The sequence below is a fragment of the Homo sapiens genome, chromosome 2 (assembly GCF_000001405.40).
Source record: "Homo sapiens chromosome 2, GRCh38.p14 Primary Assembly".
NCBI classification, from domain to species: domain Eukaryota; kingdom Metazoa; phylum Chordata; class Mammalia; order Primates; family Hominidae; genus Homo; species Homo sapiens.
This window is the reverse complement of record NC_000002.12, coordinates 179,088,766-179,101,499: the sequence shown is the minus strand read 5'-3', so window position 1 is coordinate 179,101,499 and position 12,734 is coordinate 179,088,766. Positions and strand designations below refer to the sequence as shown.

Below are 12,734 nucleotides of genomic sequence, written 5' to 3'. Positions count from 1 at the left end.
AACATATTTTCCCATAAAAAAATGATTAAAATGCAATTAGTCCTCTTCTTCAACTATATTATGGGTTATGCAAGCTACTGTAAGATGACCTAGAAATCTAGCATTAATTATATTACTGTATAAGTTAACAACTGACCTACCAATATATTTTTAGGATATATCCCACTCATTAGTTGGAAGCCACTCTTGTTCTAAGAAAATGTTTAGAACTCATAGACCATAAAGATGGTACTTAGGACATGAACATAGATTAAGTTTTGAAGGAGGACTATAGTTGCATTGTAGCCATGTAGTTAGAACTAGAATATGTGTTCTATACCAGTGGTTATCAAATATGAGTGTGCCTACAAATCAACTGGAAGTGTTACTAAAATGCAGATTCTGATTCAGTAAATCTGGGGTAGGACCAAAAGTTTTGCATTTTCAACAAGTTTCTAGCTGCTGCTGCTGCTGCCAGTCTGCAGACCACACTTCTGACTGCAAGATTCTAGAATACCTTTTATAAAAACTTCAATATATAAACTTTTCAGAGACAATGTCTGATCATCCTGCAAATTACCTAATTTCTCTAATTTGAATAGAAGAATACAGAGATGGCATTTTGGGAATTATATACTTATAGGGACTAGAGAAACCAAACATGTTTATGAAATTAACACGTTCTGAAAGATTAGCACATCCAATCTATGGTAAATTTTAGCAAATTCAAAACAGAGTGAAGCCTGAACTGTCATTTTCCAGCATCTCATCACTAAGGGAAGGTTGTTTTCAACTGGAAATAACTAATTCCTTTATGCTTTATTATTTAAATTTCTGTTTAAGAATAATGTGTAGTTATTATTTTTAAAGTACTCTAGTAAATAGAGAAAAATATAAAAAGTGAAAACTGCCCATTATTTATCAGTGCTGAGAACATAGTTAATATTTGATACATTTCCTTTGTATTTAACCTAACGAGTATGCTAGCATTCAACTTTATTTCCTGCTTTTTACAGCTATTATATCATAAAAAAATTATTAAACTTTTTTCCAGTTTAAGTCAATAGCTGTGTAATAGTCAATAATATGTAAATACCATGATTTAACTATTAAACTATTAGGTGAAACATTTAGTTTCTTTCTCTTTCTTTCTTAACGGTACTATAAGTAATGCTGCAATGAACATCCTTGCTCTTAACTTTTTGACAGCATCTCTCCTTGGGATTGATTCCTGAAAGTAGAAATATTGGATTGGAATGTATGCATATTTTGAGGCTTTTAATAGATATGGCCAAATTGCTTTCCAGAAGGTTAGGTAGATGTATGTGTCTGTTAACAGTTAGGGTGCCTGATAGACTGGATTAAGAAAATGTGGCACATATACACCATGGAATACTATGCAGCCATAAAAAATGATGAGTTCATGTCCTTTGTAGGGACATGGATGAAATTGGAAATCATCATTCTCAGTAAACTATCGCAAGGACAAAAAACCAAACACCGCATGTTCTCACTCATAGATGGGAATTGAACAATGAGAACACATGGACACAGGAAGGGGAACATCACACTCTGGGGACTGTTGTGGGGTGGGGGGAGGTGGGAGGGATAGCATTAGGAGATATACCTAATGCTAAATGACAAGTTAATGAGTGCAGCACACCAGCATGGCACATGTATACATATGTAACTAACCGGCACATTGTGCTCATGTACCCTAAAACTTAAAGTATAATAATAATAAGAAGCTCACACACACAAAAAAAAAAACAGGGTGCCTGTCTCATGGCACTATTTCCAGCATGAAGTGGTGTTCTTTTTAAAGTCTTTACAAATCTTTGAGAAAACCAGTTCACTGTACATTTCTTTAACCACCAGTGAGGCTGAAACAAATTTAATGATTTATTATTATCCATTGTGTTTCCCTTCTGGTGACTTGTCTGTTACTATTTTTGCATACTTTTCCTTTGGAGTTAGCTTTTTTTCTTATTTGTTTGAAGAGTTTTTTTTTAAATAAGGCTAATAATCCATCATATTTGAACAAGTATTTTTCCTAGTTTGTTATTTATTCTATCTTTATGAAGTTTGGTGATGTTATGCTCATATTTATGGTGAAATTTATTTACAGACCTTGATATTTTTATATTGCCTTAATGACTAGAAAATCTTTCCTCAGCTTAAATTTTATTTCTCCTGTGCAGTTTTTTTTTACTCTAGACTCCTACATTCAGAAAAAATTTTGGTGCCTTGTGTGAGGTGGTGATATAATATGATACATTTTTCCACATATCAAATGTTCTCAACATAACTTATTGGATAATCTATCCCTCCCATTGATTTCTGAAACTCCTTTGAAAATATATAGAGTTGAGTTCTTAAGTTTTCTGGGGCTACTTCTAGGCTAGCTGTTCTGTCCTGTTGATCAGTTTGTTTATAATTTTGCCTATACCATAGTGCTTTTAGTATTGCTTTAAAAGTAAGACAAACAAAAAATAAAAAGTTATTTTTTGTAGCATTGCAGAGAAACAGCTTTTCCTACTGAAAGAATTTTTTTGGTGGCATGGTGAGTATAGATGCCAGCGAATTTATGTAGTAAAGAAAAAGGTTATAGGCTTAGAGGTATTTTAGTCAAAACAAGGGAAGTGAAGAAGTAGTAGCTGTATAGCAGAGAGAGAGAACCTGTGCAGAATGCAGAGAGGAAAAAGTACAACAGAAAAGATCAAACAGCAAGAGAATAGCACAAAATGGAAGGGAAGGAAAAAAATGGAGAAATAACAAGATTTGTGAAAGGAATGGAATAGTAATGATTATAGTATTTCATTTACTGATTATATTTACAAACATATGAAGCATATTTACAGTAGTATATTTGAATATAACATGCAAAACACACAAACAATAAGGCCTGACCCATGAGATCAACAAAGACATACAAAACCAGAATGGTGTATCAACACTAATAACAGAAGAAATAGACCGAGACAGAAACCCAGGTGCTCACACTAACAAAGTGCAACAGATTCTGTTGTAGTTGGATTGATGGTCGAAAGAATTCACAAGTACAAGGTTCACCTGACCTATCCTGAAATTAGTAATACATGTTTAATTTTTCAGTTTGGTAAAATCATTTATCATTGTTCCAATAGTTACTCAAAATCAGATTTACTTTAGACAGTGTGACACAGAAAACAGAACACAGGCTTTGGGGTTTCATAATTTAGAGCCAGTGGTTCAGAATTCTATTTTTGGTGTTAAGTTGGCATGAGTTAAGCCATATTATCCTTGTGATTTTGGATAAGTTATTTAACGTTTCTAGGTCAATGTCCTCAATAAAATGGCATTAATATAGAAAATACTTCAGTGTTTCTCTAGTAATTAAGTGACATTATGTAAAACAAATCTTCAGCAGGGTAGCTGGCACACGATCAGTGCCCTATATTGATATTATTTTCTCTGAGCTTCCTAGACAGCAAGCTCCTGAGGGCAGGGATCCCATTTGTCTTCTTCCCTGATGTTTTCCTGGTGCTTAAGTCAATGTCTGGTACATCAAAAGTGCTCAGTAAGTATTTGTTGAAAAAGAAAATGATAATTTGCATGGCATTTAAAACGTGAGGCAGGTGGAGTGGGTAAAGCAAGACGGTGGAATAGAAGTCTTCACCAATTGTTCCCCCTCAAGCCCCCTGCAAGGACATCAGTTTAAAAAATATCTACACACACAAAAAAAGCACCTTCATAAGAACAAAAAATCAGGTGAGCACTCACAGTAAGTACCTGGTTTTAACTTCATATCGCTAAAAGAGGCAATGAAGAGGTAGAATGAACAGTCTTGGATTACTGACACCACCTCCTCCTCTATCCCCTGAAAGTGGCAACAAGGTGAAGAGAACCTTGTGCCTTCTGTGCCCTGGGGAGAGGGAAAGCACAGCAATTGTGAGGTATTGAAATCAGTGCTGCTTTTATAGCAGAAAGCAAAACCAGACCCAACTCAGCTGATGCCCACCCTGGAGGGTGCATGTAAACCAGTCCTAGCCAGAGGGGAATCGCAGATCCCAGAGGTTGGAACATGAGTTCCTGCAAACCTCATCATTGTAGGCTTAAGGGATTTGGGGTCCCAAATAAACTTGAAAGGCTGTCTAGGCCACAAGAACTGTAATACATAAATGAGTCCTGGGTCTGAACTGGGCCCAGAGCCTGTGGCCTGGAGGGACATGGGACATACTGAGACACCAGCTGGGGTGACTAAGGGAGTGCTAGCATCACCCCTCCCCTAACCCCAGGCAACTCCAAAAGAGAACCCTTTCTTGCACTTGAAGAGAGAAGATGGAAGAGTGGGGCAGACTTTGTATTGCATCTTAAATACCAGCTCAGCCACAGCAGAACAGGGCAGCAATCCAAGTCGTAAGAACCCTATTCCAGGCCCTACCTCCTGGACATTTCTAGACACAACCCTAGGCCAGAAGGGAACCACTGCCTTGAAGGGAAGGACCCAGTACTGGCAGGGCTTATTACCCGGTAACTGAATAGCCCTTGAGTCCTGAATAACCAGCAGCAATACCCAGGTACTATGTCAAGGGCCTTGGGTGAGACAGAGCCTTACCAGCCACAAATGAGTCTCAGCATATTCCCAGGTGTGGTGTCTAAAGGGTGAGACTTCTGATTGAGAAAAGCAGAGGGAAAAGTAAAGGGGACTTTGTCTTGCACCTTACATACCTGCTCAGCCACAGCAGGCTAGAGCACCAAACAGGCTCTTGGGGCCCCCAGTTCTAGGACTTAGGTCTTGGATGGCATTTCTGGACCTGCCCTGGGCCAGAGGAGAGCCCATTGCTCTGAAAGATGAGTCCCAGGCCAGGCAGCACTCACTACAAGCTGACTGAAGAGCCCTTGGGCCTTAAGAGAACATCAGTGGTAGTCTGGCAGTACTCCCCATGGGCCTTTTCCTCAACACACAGATCATTCTCAATGATAGACCATATGTTAGGTCACATAACAAGCCTGAAAATATCCCCCTAAAATTAAAATAATATCAAGCACCTTCTCTGACCACAATGGAATAGGTGGCAATGGCCACCGGGTGAGCTTCCTCTGCCTTCGGAAAGGGGAAGGAAGAATGAGAAGGACAGCCTCTTGTGGTTTCAGTGTCAGCTCAGCTGTAGTACAATAAAATACCAGGTGCACTTCTAAGGTTTTTGACTCTAGACCATAGCTCCTGGATGGCATCTCTGGATTCACCCGGGAGCCTGGGGGAACTCACCACCCTAAATGAAAGAACAACATAGGTGTGACTGGCCTTGGCACCTGCTGATTATAGAGCCCCAGGGCTTTGAGTGAACATAGGTGTTAGCCAGGAAGTGGTTACAGCAGACTTTGCATACAGCAGTGTTGTGCTGGCTTCAGGTCTGAATTAGCAGAATCCTAGGGATGGTGGCCACCAGGGTGCTTGTGTCACTCCACCCCCAACTTCAGGTGGCTCAGGGTAGAAAGAGACTATTTGGGAGAAAGTAAGGGAAGAGAACAAGAAAGAGTCTCTGCCTGGTAATCCAGAGAATTCTTTATCTTGGCCAAGACCATCAAGGTGGTACTTTTATGAGTCTGCAAGAACCACAGCACTACTGGGTTTGGGGTCTGCCCTAAAGCAGATGCAGCTTAGATCAGAACACCCAAGCCTTTTAAAATATCTGGAAAGCCTTCCCAAAAACTACAGTTGCAAACAAGCCCAGACTGAGAAGACTACAAAAAAAAAACAAAACAAACAAACAAAAAAAAACTAACTTTTCAATGCCCAGACACAGATGTACATCTACAAGTATCAAGATGACCCAGGAAAACATGACCTCACCAAATGAACTAAATAATGCACCAGGGGCCAATCCTGGAGAGACAGAGATATGTGACCTTTTAGATATTGAAGTCAAAATAGCTGTTTTGAGGAAACTCACATAAATTAAAGACAACACAGAGAATTCAGAATTCTATCAGATAAATGAACAAAGAGATGGAAATAATTAAAAAGAATCAAGGAGAAATTTTGGAGCTGGCAAATGCATTTGGCTTAGTGAAGAATGCATCATAGTCTTTTAACAGCAGAACTGATCAAGCAGAAGAAAGAATGAGTGAGCTTGAACACAGGCAATTTGAAAATACACAGTCAGAGGAGACAAAAAATAATACAAACCAATGAAACACACCTACAGATTTTAGAAAATAGCTTCAAAAGGGGAAATCTAAGAGTTATTGGCCTTAAAGAAGAGGTAGAATGTCTATTCAATGGGATAACTAGAGAGAAATTTACAAACCTAGAGAAAGACGTCAATATCCAAGTACAAGAAAGTTATAGAATGCTAAACAGATTTAACCCAAAGAAGATTACCTCAAGGTATTTAATAAATGAACTCCCAAAGCTCGAGGCTAAAGAAAGCATCCTAAAAGCCACAAGAGAAAAGAAACAAATCGCTCCTATACATCTGGCATCAGACTTTTCAGTAGAAGCCTTACAACCCAGGAGAGAGTGGCATGACATATATAAAGTGCTGAAGGAAAATATTTTTAAACTTAGAATAGTACATCAGGTGAAATTATCTTTCAAACATGAAGGAGAAATAAAGACTTTCCCAGACCAAAAAAAAAAAAGGAGAGAGATTTTTATTAACACTAGAGCTGTCCTACAAGAAATGCTAAAGGGAGTTTTATAGTCAGAAAGAAAAGGACAATAAGGAGCAAGAAGAAATAATCTGAAGGTATAAAACTCAGTGGTAATAGGAAGTACAAAGAAAAGCAAAGAATATTATAACATGATAACTATGGTGTGTAAACTGTTATTAAGTAGAAAGACTAAATAATGAACCAATGAAAAATAGTAACAACAACAAATTTTTATGATGTAGACAGTACAGTAAGACATAAAGAGTAACAACAAAAAATTAAAAAGCAAGGGGAATATTAAGGTATACAATATTAGTTTACTTTTTGATTGCTTGCATGTTTGTTTATGCAAACAGTGTTTTTATCAGCTAATCTCAAACCAAAAATCATACAACGTATACAGAAAAAATAAGAAGCAAGAAACTAAATCATATGACCAGAGAAAATTACCTTCACTAAAAGGAAGACAGGAAGGAAAGAAGGAAAACAAGACCACAAAGCAAACAGAAAACAAAACAGTAGAATTATATCATTATTTATCAACAATAACATTGAATGTAAATGTACTAAACTCTCCAATAAAAGACAGAGTTTTGGATACAAAGAAACACAAAACATGACCTATTGATCTGTTTTCTACAAGAAACACATTTCAACTATAAAGACATACATAAACTGCAGATAAAGGGATAGAAAAAGATATTCCATGCCAATGGAAACCAAAAAAGAACAGGAGTAGCTATCATTATATCAGACAAAATAGATTTCAAAACAAAAACTATAAGAAAAGACAAGGTCACCATATAATGATAAAGGGGTCAGTTCAGCAAGAGGATATAACAATTTAAAATATACATGGACCCAACCCTGGAACACTCAGATATATAATGCAAATATTGTTAGAGCTAAAGAAAGAGACTCCAATACAATAATAGCTGGAGACTTCAACACCCCACTTTCAGCATTGGACAGATATTCCAAATAGAAAATCAACAAAGAAACATCAGACTTAAAATGCACTATAGACCAAATGGATCTAATAGATATTAATAGAACATTTCATCTAATGACTATAGAGTGCATATCCTTTTCCACAGCATATGGATCATTCTCAAACATAGACCATATATTAGGTCACTTAAAAAGCCTTAAAATATCCCCTCAAAATTAAAATAATATCAAGCATCTTCTCTGACCACAATGGAATAAAACTATAAAACAATCACAAGAGGGATTTTGGAAACTATACAAATACATGCAGATTAAACAATATGCTCCTGAATGACCATTGGGTCAAAGAAGAAATTAAGAAAGAAATTGGGGGGGAGGAGCCAAGATGGCCAAATATGAACAGCTCCAGTCTACAGCTCCCAGCGAGAGTGATGCAGAAGACGGGTGATTTCTGCATTTCCAACTGCGGTACCAGGTTCATCTCACTGGGGAGTGCCAGACAGTAGGTGCAGGACAGTGGGTGCAGCGCACCATGTGCGAGCCAAAGCAGGGCGAGGCATCACCTCACCCAGGAAGTGCAAGGGGTCAGGGAATTCCCTTTCCTAGTCAAAGAAATTGGTGACAGATGGCACCTGGAAAATCGGCTCACTCCCACCCTAATACTGCATTTATCCAACTGGCTTAAAAAATGGCACACCAGGATATTATATCCCGCACATGGCTCAGAGGGTCCTACACCCATGGAGTCTCACTCATCGCTAACACAGCAGTCCCAGATCAAACTGCCAGGTGGCAGCGAGGCTGGGGGAGGGGTGCCCACCATTTCTGAGTTAGCTGTTTGATTAGGTAAACAAAGCAGCTAGGGAAACTCCAACTGGGTGGAGCCCACCACAGCTCAAGGAGGCATGCCTGCCTCTGTAGGCTCCACCTCTGGGGGCAGGGCACAGACAAACAAAAGCAGCAGTAACCTCTACAGACTTAAATATCCCTCTCTGACAGCTTTGAAGAGAGTAGTGGTTCTCCCAGCACGCAGCTGGAGATCTGAGAATGGGCAGACTGTCTCCTCAAGTGGGTCCCTGACCCCCAAGTAGCCTGACTGGGAGGCATCCCCCAGTAGGGGGGCAGACTGACACCTCACCCGGCCGGGTAATCCTCTGAGACAAAACTTCCAGAGGAACGGTCAGGCAGCAGCATCTGCGGTTCATCAATATCCACTGTTCTGCAGACACTGCTGCTGATATTCCAGGCAAACAGGGTCTGGAGTGGACCTCTAGCAAACTCCAACAGACCTGCAGCTGAGGGTCCTCTCTTTTAGAAGGAAAACTAACAAGCAGAAAGGACATCCACACCCAAAACCCATCTGTACATCACCATCATCAAAGACCAAAGGTAGATAAAACCACAAAGATGGGGAAAAAAAAGAGCAGAAAAACTGGAAACTCTAAAAATCAGAGTGCCTCTCCTCCTCCAAAGGAACGCAGCTCCTCACCAGCAATGGAACAAAGCTGCATGGAGAATGACTTTGACGAGTTGAGAGAAGAAGGCTTCAGACGATCAAACTACTCCGAGCTACAGGAGGAAATTCGAACCAATGGCAAAGAAGTTAAAAGCTTTGAAAAAAAATTAGACGAATGGATAACTAGAATAATTAATGCAGAGAAGTCCTTAAAAGACCTGATGGAGCTGAAAACCAAGGCACAAAAGCTATGTGATGAATGCAGAAGCCTCAGTAGCCAATGCGATCTACTGGAAGAAAGGGTATCAGTGAGGGAAGATGAAATGAATGAAATGAAGCGAGAAGGGAAGTTTAGAGAAAAAAGAATAAAAAGAAACGAACAAAGCCTCCAAGAAATATGGGACTATGTGAAAAGACCAAATCTACGTCTGATTGGTGTACCTGAAAGTGATGGGGAGAATGGAACCAAGTTGGAAAACACTCTGCAGGATATTATCCAGGAGAACTTCCCCAATCTAGCAAGGCAGGCCAAGATTCACATTCAGGAAATACAGAGAACGTCACAAAGATACTCCTCAAGAAGAGCAACTCCAAGACATATAATTGTCAGATTCACCAAAGTTGAAATGAAGGAAAAAATGTTAAGGGCAGCCAGAGAGAAAGGCCGGGTTACCCACAAAGGGAAGCCCATCCAGACTAACAGCTGATCTCTCTGCAGAAACTCTACCAGCCAGAAGAGAGTGGGGACAAATATTCAACATTCTTAAAGAAAAGAATTTTCAACCCAGAATTTCATGTCAAGCCAAACTAAGCTTCCTAAGTGAAGGAGAAATAATATACTTTACAGACAAGCAAATGCTGAGAGATTTTGTCACCACCAGGCCTGCCCTAAAAGAGCTCCTGAAGGAAGCACTAAACATGGAAAGGAACAACCAGTACCAGCCACTGCAAAAACATGCCAAATTGTAAAGACCATCAAGGCTAGGAAGAAACTGCATCAACTATCAAGCAAAATAACCAGCTAACATCATAATGACAGGATCAAATTCACACATAACAATATTAACTTTAAATGTAAATGGGCTAAATGCTCCAATTAAAAGACACAGACTGGCAAATTGGATAGAGTCAAGACCCATCAGTGTGCTGTATTCAGGAACCCCATCTCACATGCAGAGACACACATAAGCTCAAAATGAAGGGATGGAGGAAGATCTACCAAGCAAATGGAAAACAAAAAAAGGCAGGGGTTGCAATCCTAGTCTCTGATAAAACAGACTTTAAACCAACAAAGATCAAAAGAGACAAAGAAGGCCATTACATAATGGTAAAGGGATCAATTCCACAAGAAGAACTAACTATCCTAAATATATATGCACCCAATACAGGAGCACCCAGATTCATAAAGCAAGTCCTGAGTGGCCTACAAAGAGACTTAGACTCCCACACAATAATAATGGGAGACTTTAACACCCCACTGTCAACATTAGACAGATCAACAAGACAGAAAGTTAACAAGGATACCCAGGAATTGAACTCAGCTCTGCACCAAGCAGACCTAATAGACATCTACAGAACTCTCCACCCCAAATCAACAGAATATACATTCTTTTCAGCACCACACCACACCTACTCCAAAATTGACCACATAGTTGGAAGTAAAGCACTCCTCAGAAAATGTAAAAGAACAGAAATTATAACAAACTGTCTCTCAGACCACAGTGCAATCAAACTAGAACTCAGGATTAAGAAACTCACTCAAAACCACTCAACTACATGGAAACTGAACAACCTGCTCCTGAGTGACTACTGGGTAAACAAGGAAATGAAGGTAGAAATAAAGATGTTCTTTGAAACCAATGAGAACAAAGACACAACATACCAGAATCTCCGGGACACATTCAAAGCAGTGTGTAGAGGGAAATTTATAGCACTAAATGCCCACAAAAGAAAGCAGGAAAGATCTAAAATTGACACCCTAACATCAAATTAAAAGAGCTAGAAAAGCAAGAGCAAACACATTCAAAAGCTAGGCGAAGGCAAGAAATAACTAAGATCAGACCAGAACTGAAGGAAATAGAAACACAAAAAACCCTTCAAAAGATTAATGAATCTAGTTTTTTAGATTCCAGGAGCTAGTTTTTTGAAAAGATCAACAAAATTGATAGACTGCTAGCAAGACTAATAAAGAAAAAAAGAGAGAAGAATCAAATAGACACAATAAGAAACGATAAAGAGGATATCACCACCAATCCCACAGAAATACAAACTACCATCAGAGAATACTATAAACACCTCTACGCAAATAAACTAGAAAGTCTAGAAGAAATGGATAAATTCCTCGACACATACATCCTCCCAAGACTAAACCAGGAAGAAGTTGGATCTCTGAATAGGCCAATAACAGGCTCTGAAATTGAGGCAATGATCAATAGCTTACCAACCAAAAAAAGTCCAGGACCAGATGGATTCACAGCCAAATTCTACCAGAGGTACAAAGAGGAGCTGGTACCATTCCTTCTGAAACTATTCCGATCAATAGAAAAAGAGGGAATCCTCCTTAACTCATTTTATGAGGCCAGCATCATCCTGATACCAAAGGCTGGCAGAGACACAACCAAAAAAGAGAATTTTAGACCAATATCCTTGATGAACATTGATGCAAAAATCCTCAATAAAATACTGACAAACCGAATCCAGCAGCACATCAACAAGCTTATCCCCCATGATCAAGTGGGCTTCATCCCTGGGATTCAAGGCTGGTTCAACATTCGCAAATCAATAAACGTAATCCAGCATATAAACAGAACCAAAAACAAAAACCACATGATTATCTCAATAGATGTAGAAAAGGCCTTTGACAAAATTCAACAACTCTTCATGCTAAAAACTCTCAATAAATTAGGTATTGATGGAACGTATCTCAAAATAATAAGAGCTATCTATGACAAACCCACAGCCAATATCATACTGAATGGGCAAAAACTGGAAGCATTCCCTTTGAAAACTGGCACAAGACAGGGATGCCCTCACTCACCACTCCTATTCAACATAGTGTTGGAAGTTCTGGCCAGGGCAATCAGGCAGGAGAAGGAAATAAAGGGTATTCAATTAGGAAAAGAGGAAGTCAAATTGTCCCTGTTTGCAGATGACATGATTGTATATCTAGAAAACCCCATTGTCTTAGCCCAAAATCTGCTTAAGTTGATAAGCAACTTCAGCAAAGTCTCAGGATACAAAATCAATGTACAAAAATCACGAGCATTCTTATACACCAATAACAGAGAAACAGAGAACCAAATCATGAGTGAATTACCATTCACAATTGCTTCAAAGAGAATAAAATACCTAGGAATCCAACTTACAAAGGATGCGAAGGACCTCTTCAAGAAGAACTACAAACCACTGCTCAATGAAATAAAAGAGGATACAAACAAATGGTAGAATATTCCATGCTCATGGGTAGGGCGAATCAATATCGTGAAAATGGCCATACTGCCCAAGGTAATTTATAGATTCAATGCCATCCCCATTAAGCTACCAATGACTTTCTTCACAGAATTGGAAAAAACTACTTTAAAGTTCATATGGAACCAAAAAAGAGCCCGCATCACCAAGTCAATCCTAAGCCAAAAGAACAAAGCTGGAGGCATCACGCTACCTGACTTCAAACTATACTACAAGGCTACAGTAACCAAAACAGCATGGT

General features: G+C 39.0%; 4 annotated features.

Annotated features, from left to right (window-relative positions):
- Positions 3,023 to 3,072: an enhancer, noted in NCBI's record as "active region_16819". NCBI's record gives its function as "activates an Ori minimal core promoter by ATAC-STARR-seq in GM12878 lymphoblastoid cells {active_cell/tissue: GM12878}" and the evidence as "EXISTENCE:reporter gene assay evidence [ECO:0000049][PMID:35858748]".
- Positions 5,350 to 5,439: a silencer, noted in NCBI's record as "silent region_12152". NCBI's record gives its function as "represses an Ori minimal core promoter by ATAC-STARR-seq in GM12878 lymphoblastoid cells {active_cell/tissue: GM12878}" and the evidence as "EXISTENCE:reporter gene assay evidence [ECO:0000049][PMID:35858748]".
- Positions 6,305 to 6,474: an enhancer, noted in NCBI's record as "experimental_56701 CRE fragment used in MPRA reporter constructs". NCBI's record gives its function as "activates a minimal promoter by MPRAs in K562 erythroleukemia cells, with activity observed for both the introgressed and non-introgressed 2:179959838 variant alleles {active_cell/tissue: K562}" and the evidence as "EXISTENCE:reporter gene assay evidence [ECO:0000049][PMID:34662402]".
- Positions 7,462 to 7,631: an enhancer, noted in NCBI's record as "experimental_56700 CRE fragment used in MPRA reporter constructs". NCBI's record gives its function as "activates a minimal promoter by MPRAs in K562 erythroleukemia cells, with activity observed for both the introgressed and non-introgressed 2:179958681 variant alleles {active_cell/tissue: K562}" and the evidence as "EXISTENCE:reporter gene assay evidence [ECO:0000049][PMID:34662402]".